The following is a 14590-nucleotide window of genomic DNA, read 5'->3' as shown; positions in this document are numbered from 1 at the left end:
TGCAAATCAAAATGACAATGAAATATCATTGCACCCCAGTTATAGTGGCCATTATCAAAATAAACAAAAAATTACAAATGCTGGCAAGGAGGCAGAGAAAGGGGAACTCTTTCTGCAGGCGGGAATGTAAATTAGTACAGCCATTATGGAAAACAGTATCAAGGTTCCTCAGAAAAACTAAAAACAGAACTGCCATATGACCCAGCAATCCTTCTACTAGGTATATATCCAAAGGAAAGGAAATCATTATGTCAAAGAGCTGCACGCCCATGTTTATTGCAGCACTCTTCATAATAGCCAAGATATGAAATCAACCTAAGTGTCGATCAACAAGTAAATGGATAAAGACAATGTGGTATATATACACAATGGAATACTATTTAGCCATTTAAAAAATGAAATTCTGTCATTCATGGCAATATGAATGAGCTCAGAGGACATTACGATATTGAAATAAGCCAGGTACAGAAAGATAAATAGCAAATGTTCTCATTCATATGTGGAAGTGAAAAAAGTTGTTCTCATAGAGGTAGAGAACAGAATAGTAACCAGAGGCAGGGAAAAGGAAGGGGGAGAGGGATAACCAAAGGTTGGTTTACAGATTCAGAAGCACAGCTAGATAGAAGGGATAAGTGCTAGTGTTCTATAGCACTATAGGGTGACTATAACTAACAACAATTTATTGTACTTTTTTTTCTTTTTCTTTTCTTTTTTTTTTTGAGACAAGGTCTTGTTATGTCACCCAGGCTGGAGTGCAGTGGTGCCATCATCTCTCACTGCAGCCTTAAACTCTTGGACTCAAGTGATCCTTCCACCTTAGCCTCCAGAGTAGCTGGGACTACAGGCATGTGCCAACCTTCCTGGCAATTTTTTTTATTTTTTGTAAAGATGGGGGTCTCACTATGTTGCCCATGCTGGTCTCAAACCCCTAGCCTCAAGCGATCCTCCTGCCTCAGCTTCCCAAAGTGTTGGGATTACAAGCTTGAGCCACCAAGCCTGGCTCTGTATATTTTCAAATAGCTAGGAGAGTGGATTTGAATGTTCCCAGCACAAAGAAATGATAAGTGTTTGAGTTGATACACATGTTAATTACCCTGATTTGATTATAACACATTGACTATATATATCAAAATATCACTGTACCCCATAAAATGTATAATTATTATGTGACAATTAAAAATAATAAAGGCTAAAAAATACTGTCAAATTATATACAGGCAAGACAACTATAAAATCCTCAGTAAAAAAAAAACTAGAAGGATTTTGCCCCTAAAAAATTCAAAAGCATCTTTAGGCTCCTGTTGCACTTCAAAGCAGCCAAAACTGACTACTGGAGAGCGTGCCTTAGGAGGGTTCCTACAAGAGGTACTCAGGGAATTCCAACCAGCGGATCATGGCTCTGCATCAAGACACCAACTAGTAAATGCAAATTCGTGTGTTTTGGTGAAAATATTTATGTATGTATTATTTTATACTACTATTCCCTACATTGATGTTTTACCTAACAAACCAATAAGGTTTCATTCTGATTGCATGAGACAAAGACGACTTCTTTTTTTTTTTTTTTTTTTTGAAATGGAGTTTTGCTCTTGTTGCCCAGGCTGGAGTGCAATGGCGTGATCTTGGCTCACCGCAACCTCCACCTCCCGGGTTCAAGTGACTCTCCCGAGTAGCTGGGATTACAGGCATGTGCCACCACACCCGGCTAATTTTTTTTTTTTGTATTATTAGTAGAGATGGGGTTTCTTCACGTTGGTCAGGCTGGTCTCGAACTCCCAACCTCAGGTGACCCGCTCACCTCGGCTTCCCAAGGTTCTGGGATTACAGGCGTGAGCCACCATCCCTGGCAAGAGGACTTTTAAGAACATAAAAATGAAGACCCAGAAAAAAAAACGCATCAAAATGCTGACTGTCAGGCCTCTGAGCCCAAGCCAAGCCATCATATCCCCTGTGACCTGCACGTAAACATCCGGATGGCCTGAAGCAAGTGAAGAATCACAAAAGAAGTCAAAATGGCCAGTTCTTGCCTTAACTGATGACATTCCACCATTGTGATTTGTTCCTGCCCCACCTTAACCGAGTGATTAACCTTGTGAAATTCCTCCTCCTGGCTCAGAAGCTCCCCCACTGAGCACCTTGTGACCCCTGCCCCTGCCCACAAGAGAAAAACCCCCTTTGACTGTAATATTCCACCACCCACCCAAATCCTATAAAACGGCCCCAACCCTATCTCTTCACTGACTCTCTTTTCTGACTCAACCCGCCTGCACCCAGGTGAAATAAACAGCCTTGTTGCTCACACAAAGCCTGTTTGGTGGTCTCTTCACATGGACACACATGACATTTGGTGCCGAAACCCGGGCAGCTAGCATTCCAACTTCTGTCCCTTATGGCCAGTTTTTCTCCTTCTCATCGATCACTCCCACCTACTCTCCCAATGAAACTTCCGCCTATCAATCTCTTCCCACACAAGGCAAATGGTTCTTGGACCAAGGAGAATATCTCCTTCCAGCCTCACGGGCCCATTCTATTCTATCATCATTTCATAACCTCTTCTAGGTTGGTTACAAGCCACTAGCCCACCTGTTAGAACCTCTCATTTCCTTTCCATCATGGAAATCTATCCTTAAGGAAATCACTTCTCAGTGTTCCATCTGCTGTTCTGCTACTCGTCAGGGATTGTTCAGGCCCCCTCCCTTCCCTACACATCAAGCTCGGGGATTTGCCCCCGCCCAGGACTGGCAAATTGACTTTACTCACATGTCTCGAGTCAGGAAACTAAAATACCTCTTGGTCTAGGTAGACACTTTCACTGGATGGGTAGAGGCCTTTCCCACAGGGTCTGAGAAGGCCACTGCGGTCATTTCTTCCCTTCTGTCAGACATAATTCCTCGGTTTGGCCTTCCCACCTCTATACAGTCCAATAACGGACCGGCCCTTTATTAGTCAAATCACCCAAGCAGTTTCTCGGGCTTTGGGTATTCAGTAGAACCTTCATACCCCTTTCTGTCCTCAATCTTTAGGAAAGGTAGAACGGACTAATGGTCTTTTAAAAACACACCTCACGAAGCTCAGCCTCCAACTTAAAAAGGAGGACTCTGTCCAGGATAGAGCCCAAAAACTCACCAACCAAGCAAGTAATTACACTGAACCCCTTGGGCACTCTCTAATTGGATGTCCTGGGTCCTCCCAATTCTTAGTCCTTTAATACCTGTTTTTTTCCTTCTCTTATTCAGACCTTGTGTCTTCCGTTTAGTTTCTCAATTCATCCAAAACCGTATCCAGGCCATCACCAATCATTCTATAAGACAAATCCTCCTTCTAACAACCCCACAATATCACCCCTTACCACAGAATCTTCCGTCAGCTTAATCTCTCCCACTGTAGGTTCCCACGCCAACCCTAATCCCGCTGGAAGCAGCCCTGAGAAACATCACCCATTATCTCTCCATACCACCCCCCAAAATTTTCCCTGCCCCAACACTTCGACACTATTTTATGTTATTTTTCTTATTAATATAAGAAGACAGGAATGTCAGGCCTCTGAGCTCAAGCCAAGCCATCATATCCCCTGTGACCTGCACGTAAACATCCAGATGGCCTGAAGCAAGTGAAGAATCACAAAAGAAGTCAAAATGGTCGGTTCCTGCCTTAACTGATGACATTCCACCATTGTGATTTGTTCCTGCCCCACCTTAACTGAGTGATTAACCTTGTGAAATTCCTTCTCCTGGCTCAGAAGCTCCCCCACTGAGCACCTTGTGACCCTCGCCCCTGCCTGCAAGAGAAAAACCCCCCTTGACTGTAATTTTCCACTACCCACCCAAATCCTATAAAATGGCCCCACCCGTATCTCCCTTCACTGACTCTCTTTTCAGACTCAGCCCGCCTGCACCCAGGTGAAATATACAGCTTTATTGCTCACACAAAGCCTGTTTGGTGGTCTCTTCACACGGACGTACGTGACACTGACTTTAATCATTTATAAGTGAGTTCTTATTTTTTCCTTCATATGTTCTTGGATTTTCCTAAAAGTATATGTTACCTTTATAAAAATTTAAGCAATAAACTGTTTTTAAAGCAACTATCTGGGCCAGGAGCAGTGGCTTACACCTGTTATCCCAGCACTCTGGGAGGCTGAAGCAGGAGGATTGCTTGAGGCTAGGAGTGTGAGACCAGCCTGGACAACATAGTAAGACCCATCTCTAAAAAAAATTTAAAAATTAGCCAGAGTATGCTGGTACATGCCTGTAGTCTCGGCTACTCAGAGGCTAAAGTGGGAGAATTGCTTGAGCCCCGGGGGGTCAAGGCTGCAATAAACCATTATCACGCCACTGTACTCCAGCCTAGACAACAAAGCAAGACCCTGTCTCGAAAAAAAAAAAGAAACAACAACAACAACAAAAAACTATTGCTGGTGATGGTAGTAGAGTTTAAAATGGTGACAAAAGTGATGACGATGGTGTAATGTGATGTCCAGGACAGGTGGCCCAAAACAACAGGCTCAAGGGAGATTTGGCATCTTCTGGATAAGCCCTTAAGGGGTTCCTTAATCTCTATGGAGGGAACTAGACCCGACCAGCCCTCAGATGCATACGATGTGGAGCCCAGGCACTGACTCCCAGGGACTTGCACCAAGGCAGGTGAGCCCAGGACTCCACTGTGGTTATATTATGCACTTCTGGATACCTAGCCCTGCCTGGGCACTGAGGGGAAGAATATGAGAAGGAAACAAAATTTAACCTTTTCTAGACATAGGCACAACCACTGGCAATCACGTATCAATTATCTCATTTATTCCTTGATACCACTGGTCAAAGCAGCAAGACGACTCTGCTGACCATACTCTCTTTTGGGAGGGGACAGGGCTATAAAAGTTCATTTTTTAAAAAAGTGTTTTTTTCTTTCTTTCTTTCTTTCTTTTTTTTGAGACAGAGTCTTGCTCTGTTGCCTAGGCTGGAGTGTGATGGCACGATCTCGGCTCACTGCAACCTCCATCTTCCAGGTTCAAGCAATTCTCCTGCCTTAGCCTCCCGAGTAGCTGGGATTACAGGCACCCGCCACCATGCCCAGCTAATTTTTTTGTGTTTTTAGTAGAGACAGGGTTTCACCATGTTGCCCAGGCTGATTTTGAACTTCTAACCTCAAGCGATCCACCCGCCTCAGCCTCCCAAAGTGCTGGGATTATAGGCATGAGACACTGCGCCTATAAAAGTTTAAACTGTAAAAGCAATATGTGCTTATTGTTAAAAATAAATAAATATAACAGTACTGATTTGTGTGGAGTAAAAGCATCCCGTTCCCCAACACTACTCAACCCCAGCCAATTCTCCAGAGGTAGCCCCTGGTAACAGTTGGGTGGGTATCCACTCAGCCTTGGTCTGTGTGTGTACAAACAAACAAAGTAAATATGTCTGAGTGATAACTAGATGCACAGGTAGATATCAAGGTATGGAACCACAGAATAGAGTTGTTCCCCAAGATACCTGCACTGCTCACTCCCTCACCTCCTGCAAATGCCATCAGGTCTTCTCTGGCCCAACCTATTCAAAGTGCTGTTCCCCAGACCCCCCAACTCATAATCCCTGTATCTGCCTCACTCATGGTTTCTTTCTCTCCAGGGCATTTTTCATCATCTGACATCCATATGTCATGTTTTTGGGTTTTAAAAATCTGTCTCTCTTCATAAGAATATAATTCCATGAGACAGAGGACTTGTTCCCTGCTGTATCCTAGTACTTAGAACAGTGCCTGGCACACAGTAGGCATTGACTAAATACTGGTTGAAAGAAAGGAATGAAAGAAAAGAGGGAGAGAGAGGGAGGGAAGGGAAGGGAGAGGAAGAGGGGGAAGGAAAAATGTAGCACTCTAAATGCAAACAGGCCCATACTATACATATTACACAATTTGCTCTTTTAATAATATAGTAGACTTTTTTTTTAAATCATGGTACCTCATTAATGTGTAAAGCTGCAAGGTATTCCTGTGAATAGACGTCATCATTTACTTAACCCACTGCTTCCTTCCTGAAACTGTGTGGGCAGTAAGTGGAGAAAGGGGCAAAATAAGGTACTCCCAGTCCATGGCTCTTGGCAATAAGCTTTCCCAAATTTCAGTCTAGGAAATTGACTGTTCATGGATCAGGGCATGCAAAGTTACCCTCAAGAGACATAAAGGATACCTGGCTGGAGGTGAAGAAAAGATGTGTTCATTGGATGCCAAAGATCGGTGAAAAGGGGATGTCACTGAGGCACACTGCGGTGAGGCCCACGGGAGCAGAGCCAGGGAGATGGTGGCCTGCCAGGCCCAAGTGTTGGGTCCTCCTGGCAGGCATTTCCCTGTTGGTGAAGTGGCCTGGGCAAGGCTCAGAGCCCATAGGCATTGAACTCTCAGACTGTGTTCTCAACTTGCCAGGCCTAGAGCAAGTTCACCCAGCACTCAAAGAGCTGCTGCAGGGGAGAAGGTGCCAGGAAGTCCATCTGACAGAAAATTTCTCTTTGGGAAACAGTACATTGACTTCTGATTTGACTCATGAACCTTTGTGGACTTGATTACAGACAGCCAGGGGCTTCCAGTCCTATCAACTCAGAGGAGACACAGAGGAGATGAAATTTGGGGCCAGCTCAGGCAAAGGCCAGATGTGGGCAGGAGAGGACTCACTACGGAAACCAGCCCCTCAGGCTGACCCACCTAGCTCCTAGCTCACAAAGCCATTGTGTTGAGTAAATGAGGTCAGAGCTGTGGGTCTTGGGGCTCAGGGCCTGGTACACAGTAGGAGGTCATTAAACAGTAGGTATTTCTTGTTTATTATTAGAAGTTTGAAGAAGGTGAGTAATGGTATAGGGCAGGTCACACAATGGTGACTCACACCTGTAATCCCAACACTTTGGGAGGCCAAGGCAGGAGGATCGCTTGAGCCTAGGAGTTCAAGACCAGCCTCAGCAATATAGTGAGACCTCATCTCTACAAAAAGTTTAAAAATCAACTGAGCGTGGTAGCACATGCTGGTAGTCCCAGCTACTCAGGAGGCTGAGGTGGGAGGATCCCTTGAGCCCAGGAGGTGGAGGCTGCAGTAAGACGAGATCACGCCACTGTACTCCAGCCTGGGTGACAGAGTAGGACCCTGTCTCAAAAAAGAAAAAAGAAAAGGGAGGGAGGGAGGGAGGAAGGATGGAGGGAAGGAAGGAAGAAAGGAAGGGAGGGAGGGAGGAAAAGGAAAGGAAATAAATCAGGAAGTGTAAGTATTCCAGGTTTTTCTTCCAAAGAAGGAAGGAAGGAAGGAAGAGAGGGAGGGAGGGAGGGAGGAAGGAAGAAAGGAGAAAGGAGAAAGGAAAGTAAATAAATCAGGAAGTGTAAGTCCTCCAGGTTTTTCTTTCTTCCAGAATCGTACTGGTTATTCCAGGTCCCCTGAGGAGGAATCTACATTTTTCCAAGCTCTCCAGGCAATTCGTAGGCCCTTAGAGAACCACTGCACTGTGCCATATCATACCTCTAAACTCTGCTCCCTTGGCCTCTCTGGCCCTCTGACCTTTCCTGATTCTCCTTGTACCTCTCCCACACCTTCTTCATGGTTTCATTCTGTCCACCCTGTGATATTTCAACCACTCTCATGGTTTAAGTGACACCCACTGCTGACAACTCATTGTGGCCCTGATCTCTCTTCTGAGATTCAAGCTCACACATGGAGTTGCCAACCCAGCGTCTCCCCCAGGATATCTCAGGGCTCTTCTGACACACCCTGGCCAAAACTCAACCTATCATCTTTCCCTCCAACCCCCGCCTTCTGCTTGGGGTCCTGATGGGATCACCATTCTCCCAGTCACCTGAAAACCTGGCACCAGGAATAATCTTGGATTATTCCCTCACTCTCACCGCCTGCATCATTCAGTTATCAGTGCTGCCAAACACAACCTTTTATTTTTTTCTTTTCTTTTTTTTTTTTTTTTTGAGATGGGGTCTCACTCTATCACCCAGGCTGGAGTGCAGTCGTGCAGTCTCAGCTCACTGCAACCTTCACCTCCCAGGCTCAAATGATCCTCCCACCTCAGCCTCCCAAGTAGCTGGGACTACAGGCGCACACCACCACACTCGGCTAATTTTTTATATTTTTGTAGAAATGGTGTTTTGCAATGTTGCTCAGGCTGGTCTCAAACTCCTGGACTCAAGTGATCCACCTGCCTTGGCCTCCCAAAGTGCTGGGATTACAGGCATGAGCCACCGCACTCGGCCAAAGCACACCTCTTAAATATGTTTCAAACGTGTTCCTTCCTCTCTTGGACCACATCTGTAGTTCAGGCTTCAGCATCCCTCCCCTAGACAACTTCACTTCCTTCATAAGTGGTCTTCCAACTTGTCCCTCTTAACTCCATCCTCCACAGGGTAGCCAGCACGATCTTTCCAAAAAGCAAATCTAAAACTTTCAATAGCTCCTACTGCCCAGAGACACCTAGGGTCTGTGTGGACACTAGTTCATTCGTCATCTGGTTTCACTTTCATGGCTGAGCTAAATGTTTCACTAGGTGGTGATTTGTTCTTGGCAACAAGATGATCTTTTGCAAATGAGAGTCTCACTGACCTTGCAGAAGTGAAAGTTTACTATACCTTTATAAACAGCCTTGGCTAATGTACTAGCATGACTGCTAAAAGAGCAGTGACTGGAATTTTCATAGTAAACAATGCAGCATCTCCTACCCTAATTTCCCCAGCACCAGGGGCCTTCTAGTTAGGATTCCCCAGGCCCACACTTTCTAACATCTCTCTTTCCTTTTCCAGTCCCACACTGGTCAGTTACAGCCTCCTACGTCCCAGCTGTGCGTTTCCTGTGAAAAGAATAAGTGAGTAAATGAGAAGTTATTTTAAAGGATGTGAAGTGGGGAACTTCCTCTGGAAAGAATATCTAAACACACACTTGATGTTTCTTTTTTTTTTTTTTTTTTTTTTTTTTTTTGAGACAGAGTCTTGCTCTGTCGCCCAGACTGGAGTACGGCGGCGTGATCTCAGCTCACTGCAACCTCCGCCTCCCAGGCTCAAGCGATTCTCCTGCCTCAGCCTCCCGAATAGCTGGGATTACAGGTGCCCATCACCACACCTGGCTAATTTTTGTATTTTTAGTACAGACAGAGTTTCACCATGTTGGCCAGGCCAGTCTCAAACTCCTGACCTCAGGTGATCCACCTGCCTCGGCCTCCCAAAGTACTGGGATTACAGCCATGAGCCACCTGCCCAGCCTGATGTTTCTTGAGTAGACTGAGATAGAACTAAGGCCACAGGGTGGTGAGGTGGATGGGGAGAGGGGGCTGTCCAGAGAGAGCCCCAAGGCTGGCCTGAGGCACCTAGAGTTGAGCACACCCCTGTCGGTGGCCCTGGGCATGCATGCTTCCTGCCCCACTCCCTATCCTACGTATGGGGCCCTTAGGGTCCCTGGGTTTTGAAGTAGCTGCCCCAAATTAATAGCCTAGTTAATAAGTGTCAGAGTCAAGGTTTGAACCCAAGATCTGCCTGTCAATCTCACTCCCTTGCCACAGTGCCAGGGGCTACTCCCTCTGTTCTCCACCAGCCCTGCCCTCTCTGCAGGGCTGGGGGTCTGAGCAGGAGGACTTCCCCAGACAAACTTTTGGGTCTGAGGGGCCAGACCCTGCAGACTCAGGAGTCTAGAGTGAAGAGAAGCCCAGGGGCAGATGGCCCAGGCTGGGGCAGGAGGGGTCAGAGAGCAGAGGCCTCAAGGAGAGTCCACACTCCACTTGACAAGGAAAGGAGCCTGGGCACAGAGAGGGATAGTAACCAGCCCGGGGACGCGGTCCATGGCAGGTAAGAAACACTCCCTTTGGAAGGCCGAGGTGGGCAGATCACAAGGTCAAGAGATCGAGACCATCCTGACCAACATGGTGAAACCCCATCTCTACTAAAAATACAAAAAAAATTAGCTGGGCTTGGTGGCGCATGCTGTAGTCCCAGCTACTTGGGAGGCTGAGGTAGGAGAATTGCTTGAACCCCAGGAGGCGGAGGTTGCAGTGAGCCAAGATCGTGCCACTACACTCCAGCAAGACTCTGTCTCAAAAAAAAGAAAAAAAAAGAAAAAGAAACATCCCCAACTCAGTTCATCCAGGAGACCTCCTGGGAGAGGTGCAAAAAGAAAGAGAAAAAGTAAAAAGACTGAGCCTCTGGGACAGATGGGGGAAACCAAGGCTAAAGTCACACTGACAACAGCGGGGTCAGGGCCGGATCCAGCTCCCCCAGCCTCTTGGACACCTCTCCCTCTCCTCTCACCTCCCCTTCCTCCTCTCCCACAGCCCTCCCCCGGCCTCACTGCCCCAGGCCTCACACTAGCCTGCCCCAGAGGCCTTGGGGGATTCCCAAGCTGCAGACCACTCCAGCCAGATTCATCCGCACCCCTGTCCTCCCACCCCCCACCCTCACCAGCTCCTAGGCCAGAGGCACCCTGGCCCCACAGTATAGAGGTCTGAGAACCAGAGGACCAGGGGCCCTGGGTTCTAGACCTCCACCTGCTTCAACTTGCCCTGTGAGTCTGGGTAGGTCCCTGCTCCTCTGTGAGCCTCAGTTTCTCCTCTGTGAACTGACAGAGTTGGACATGACCCCAGACACTCTCCATTCCTGAGGCACTAGGCGTGGCTCGCGGCTGTCCGCAGTCTGTGAACCTGGCAGGGGCTGAGGTATCCCAGGGCTAGCCTCTGTGGCACAGGCACCTCAGTGAGCCTTGGAGAGGCCACTCAGGCCACACCCTGGGGCAGGGCCCAGTGGGGCCTCCCCAAAGCCCCCAATACCTCCCAGTGAAAAACAATGAATTTCATTCCAAATAAGGGAACTACAGCAAAGTTCCCTGCCACGGCCCAGTTCCGGCTGGTTTATGTTAGCTGGACAAGACTAAACAGACCTTCACATTCCCAGTAGTAAGCACTAAAAATGAAAATGTGCCTGCTTGTCTCTGGAGCACTGGGGCAAGGGAGAGGCCAGTGCTCCCCTGAGGCCTCCCGAGAGGCTCAGCAGACCTGGGGGCTGCCAGGGAGGGCTGCTGGGGAGCGAGCAAGACTTCAGCAGGCAGCAAAGCCGGGTGGGCACCGGGTGATGGTGGCCATGGTGGCCTGGGGGGGTGTCAATGGAGAGGGGCAGGGGGTCCTTTATGTCGTAGAGGTGGGAATGTGACAGGGAACCAGAAATGAGAAGGTAGAGGGAGAGAGAAAGACGGGGAAGGAGTGAGGCAGCCAGAGACGAGAAGACCCTAGGGGCCCCCACCACCTGCCTTGACTGGGAGGCCAGGAGGGAGGGAAGAGGGGAGAGAAGGGACCCAGCCACTTCCTGGACAACACAGCACCTTGTTCCCAGTCCCCCTCCTGCCTCCCTCAGTGTGGACACAACTAGCTTAAGATAAGAATTTAATTATTTACAAAACAGAGACACCTGAAGCCCTCCCCTTTCCCACACAAGCCTCCCTCCACACATACCTGCCCTTGAGCCCAGCCCAACCCTGCGGGCGCTGGGGAAACTGCCGAGCAGCACAGCTCCCGTCCTTTTTATGTTTGTTTGGTAGAGATGGGGTTTCTCCATGTCACCCAGGCTGGTCTTGAACTCCTGGGCTCAAGCAATCCACCCACTTCAGCCTTCCAAAGTGCTGGGATTCCAAGCATGAACCACCTCACCCAGCCAGTTCCCATCTTAGAAATGACTAAACTACTTGGAGGGACAGAGAAGTGCCCTGCCCAAGGTCACCTATCTGTGGCTGGCAGAGCCAGGACCAATGGTCCCCACAGCTTTTGAGTCCTGTGGGTTGGCTGCACAGCCTCAGGCCACACTGTCACTGGTCAGCCTTGCCTCATGGCTACACATAGGTGGCTCCATCTCCTCCATCAGCTCCTTGCCCACTCCCAAGAGAAAGCCCCTCTCTGTCCATCTAAACTTCTCCACCATTCTTCAAAGCAAACCCCTTCTCCTGGAAGTTCTCCCTGATTCCATTCAGCCTAACTGACCACTCTCTCCTCTGACTTCTGACCTCCCTCTGCCCAAGTGATCAGCAGCACAAGTTCTATAAGGGCAGAACCATGTCTGTCTCCAGAGCCTGGCACAAGGCCTGACACCTAAAGAGCACCCAAAGAACATCTGTGCCATCAATGAATGAATGAATGAATGAAGCAATGGTTCCATCTTGCTCTTGTCTGGGCTCCAGAGCCTGGTATTCAGAAAATGTCATTTCAGCAGAGAACTAACTGGATGTGGCTGCGGCAGCCCTGAAGAGCCCATAGAAGAAAAGTTTGAATTCCCCAGAATCAGCCCATTCTTGCATTAATTTCAAAACATAGTTGAGTGCCTACTGTGTGTGCCAGGCACTGGTGGTGGTGATACAGCAGTAAGCAAGAGAGACAGTAAAAAATACAGACAAGCAAACAGGCCTGGCAGCTAGTGTGATCAGTGCGAGGATGGTGAAGCCCAGGGCAGCCAGAGAGGGACAGCAGAAGCCATCTAACCCACCCGGTGGTCAGGGAAAGCTTCCTAGAGTAGGCGAAGCTAAGCCAAGACCTGAAGGATGAGCCCAACGATGGCAACCATAGCTAATATTTATTATGCTTTTATTACTAGTCAAGCATTACCTCAAATAAGGAATTAGGACATGGAGAAGTTAAGCTTTGAGGCCCAGGGAGCCAAGACAAAGTCCAATTCCAGAGTCTATGCCTTGGCTACAGTGCATTCTATCCTGCCTACCTTTCCTCTTCCCTCCTTGCACCCCAGGTCCCCTCAGATGCTGCTGGAGAATTCCAGAGGCCTGCTGGGCTGCACCAGCGTCAGCATGTGGGTTGGGTTTCCATAGCCCAGTGGGACCCCCAGGCCTCTCAGCCTCTCAGGTTCCATGGCCAGGCCAAGAGAGGGGGCCTGGGGGTCCCTGCAGACCCAGAGCTCCCCCTGTGTCCCTGGGACAGACTGGCTGGTGGAGAAAGTTCCCCCTCTTCTCAAGTGCCTGAGTTTCCTGCACTTCAGGGAAAGGACTCTATCCCAAAGATGTCCTTTCAGAGCACAGAAGAGATTGCCCTAGACCTGGAAAGCATGTCCCCCACTCACTCCTATCCTGTCGCCTGTTTTGGTAAAACAAAGGAGGGCCTCTGAGATGGGGAAGTCCACCTGCAGCAGGGTGGATGCGGGCTAAGAGGCCAAGTCAGGAGCCCCCCCATTCAAGGCCCACTGGCAATGGTGTGACCTGGGCAGTGGAAATGGGAAACAGCGGCGGGGGGTGGCCTGGAAACATCCAGGAAATAAGGCCAAGACCGCCTGCCTGAGAAACTTCTAGGGGGGTCTTGAGCAACACCTGGGAAGGAAGAGGGCTTCCCAGAGCTCAAAGCCCAGGACAAATGGAATGGAACTTTTTCTTCCCAGCAACTTTAGCTCTCCAAGAGAAGGATCCACATTGGAGGTAGCAAGAGAGAAACAGAGGAGGGGTGTGGGTGGCAGTCCTATATAGACACAGATGTTTCTCAGGCAGGGGTCAGCCCAGCCAGGGGTGAAGAACAGCCCCTCTGGGTCTCAGCCCCTCAGCACAGCACAAGGGAGACAGCTGGGCCCCTTCAGAACCTGGCTTGCCACATGTCTTTGCCCACTGCCTGGCCTAGGTAAGAGCTGGCCTACAAGGAGGGGGGCTGTTGGCCCAACCTGGCCCATCTCCCGCCCCACAGAGCCACATGCCAAGCCCCAGGGACCCAGATTTAACATGTCCCACTCGATGTGTGCTCACTCTCCCCAGGGGCCGCTCAGCACACGTTAAGATCCAATTGGCACTAATTGGACCAAGCTGGCAGTGCCCAGGGCAGCCTGAGTCCTGTCACCATGGATTTGACTCACCAAGCAAAGCAGTGGCCGTGGGTGTCTACGGAGCCCACCATTAGTGTCATTTTGGGAAGCTCAAGTGAACATGGATGGTGCTTTGTGAGTCAACATCACTGTCCGGCCAAAGCTTGCAGCCAGAGACCTAGAGCTTATAAGTGACTTACCCACAAACAGTCTTACACCAAGGCCAGGGCTGGAGCCTGGGCCTCCCAGGTGTCAGCTCAGAGGTTGCTCTACCGGCCCCTTCATCTGCTGATGGCCCCAGGAAGTCTCCTCTAGAAGAGGAAGGAGGTTCTAGCTCTTCCCTTCCTCCCAGGGTACAAGACCTCCACCCTGATCATCAAACCCCACCCAGGGAGAGAATCTCAACCCAATTCCAGAATACTGAGCTCCAAAATGGACTCTTGACCACAAGACTGAAACACAATCACAAATCCTGGACCCTGAAACGGAAACCTGCCCTCCAGGAATGGAACCCTCATCCTCAACCTGGAACCCATACTCCCAAATGGGAGCCTCAAGATCAGCCCAAAATCTTGCCTGCAGAAATAGCACCTTCACCCCAAAATACCACCTCATGCCTCAGGAACTGAGAACCTTAGCACCAGACAGAAAACCTCCACTTTCAGAAAAAGTCCTGAATCTTGGGGAGGGAGCTCTCTCTTCAAAAGCCGATCTGGCCTCTTCTTATACAGAAATGAGCCGCACAATGACATTTCGTTCAATGACAGATCACATATAAGACAGTGATCCCATAAGATTATGA

The 14590-nt window shown here is 48.9% G+C and overlaps 1 protein-coding gene and 1 long non-coding RNA gene across 3 annotated transcripts in view, besides 2 other annotated features; one reads left to right on the top strand and one right to left on the bottom strand.

Annotated features, from left to right (window-relative positions):
* Window positions 1–14590, bottom strand: part of NEURL1 (neuralized E3 ubiquitin protein ligase 1) — a 98842-nt gene that overhangs the window by 68372 nt on the left and 15880 nt on the right. The gene's annotated exons all lie outside the window — the stretch shown is intronic.
* The window catches only part of NEURL1-AS1 (NEURL1 antisense RNA 1), a 37840-nt gene continuing 29982 nt past the window's right edge, over window positions 6733–14590 (top strand). The window contains exons 1-3 of one of the 2 annotated variants that reach the window (NR_120676.1): window positions 6733–6789; window positions 8773–8834; window positions 12020–12396. This is a non-coding gene — a long non-coding RNA (NEURL1 antisense RNA 1). Of the gene's footprint in view, window positions 6790–8772; window positions 8835–12019; window positions 12397–14590 lie in introns of those variants that run through there. The other variant, NR_120675.1, reaches the window with a different exon arrangement.
* Window positions 8401–8560: an enhancer, noted in NCBI's record as "active region_3966". NCBI's record gives its function as "activates an Ori minimal core promoter by ATAC-STARR-seq in GM12878 lymphoblastoid cells {active_cell/tissue: GM12878}" and the evidence as "EXISTENCE:reporter gene assay evidence [ECO:0000049][PMID:35858748]".
* Window positions 8581–8660: an enhancer, noted in NCBI's record as "active region_3965". NCBI's record gives its function as "activates an Ori minimal core promoter by ATAC-STARR-seq in GM12878 lymphoblastoid cells {active_cell/tissue: GM12878}" and the evidence as "EXISTENCE:reporter gene assay evidence [ECO:0000049][PMID:35858748]".

This window comes from Homo sapiens, chromosome 10, assembly GCF_000001405.40.
Source record: "Homo sapiens chromosome 10, GRCh38.p14 Primary Assembly".
NCBI classification, from domain to species: Eukaryota; Metazoa; Chordata; class Mammalia; order Primates; family Hominidae; genus Homo; species Homo sapiens.
Note: the sequence above shows the minus strand (reverse complement) of the source record. Positions and strands in the feature narration are given on the sequence as shown.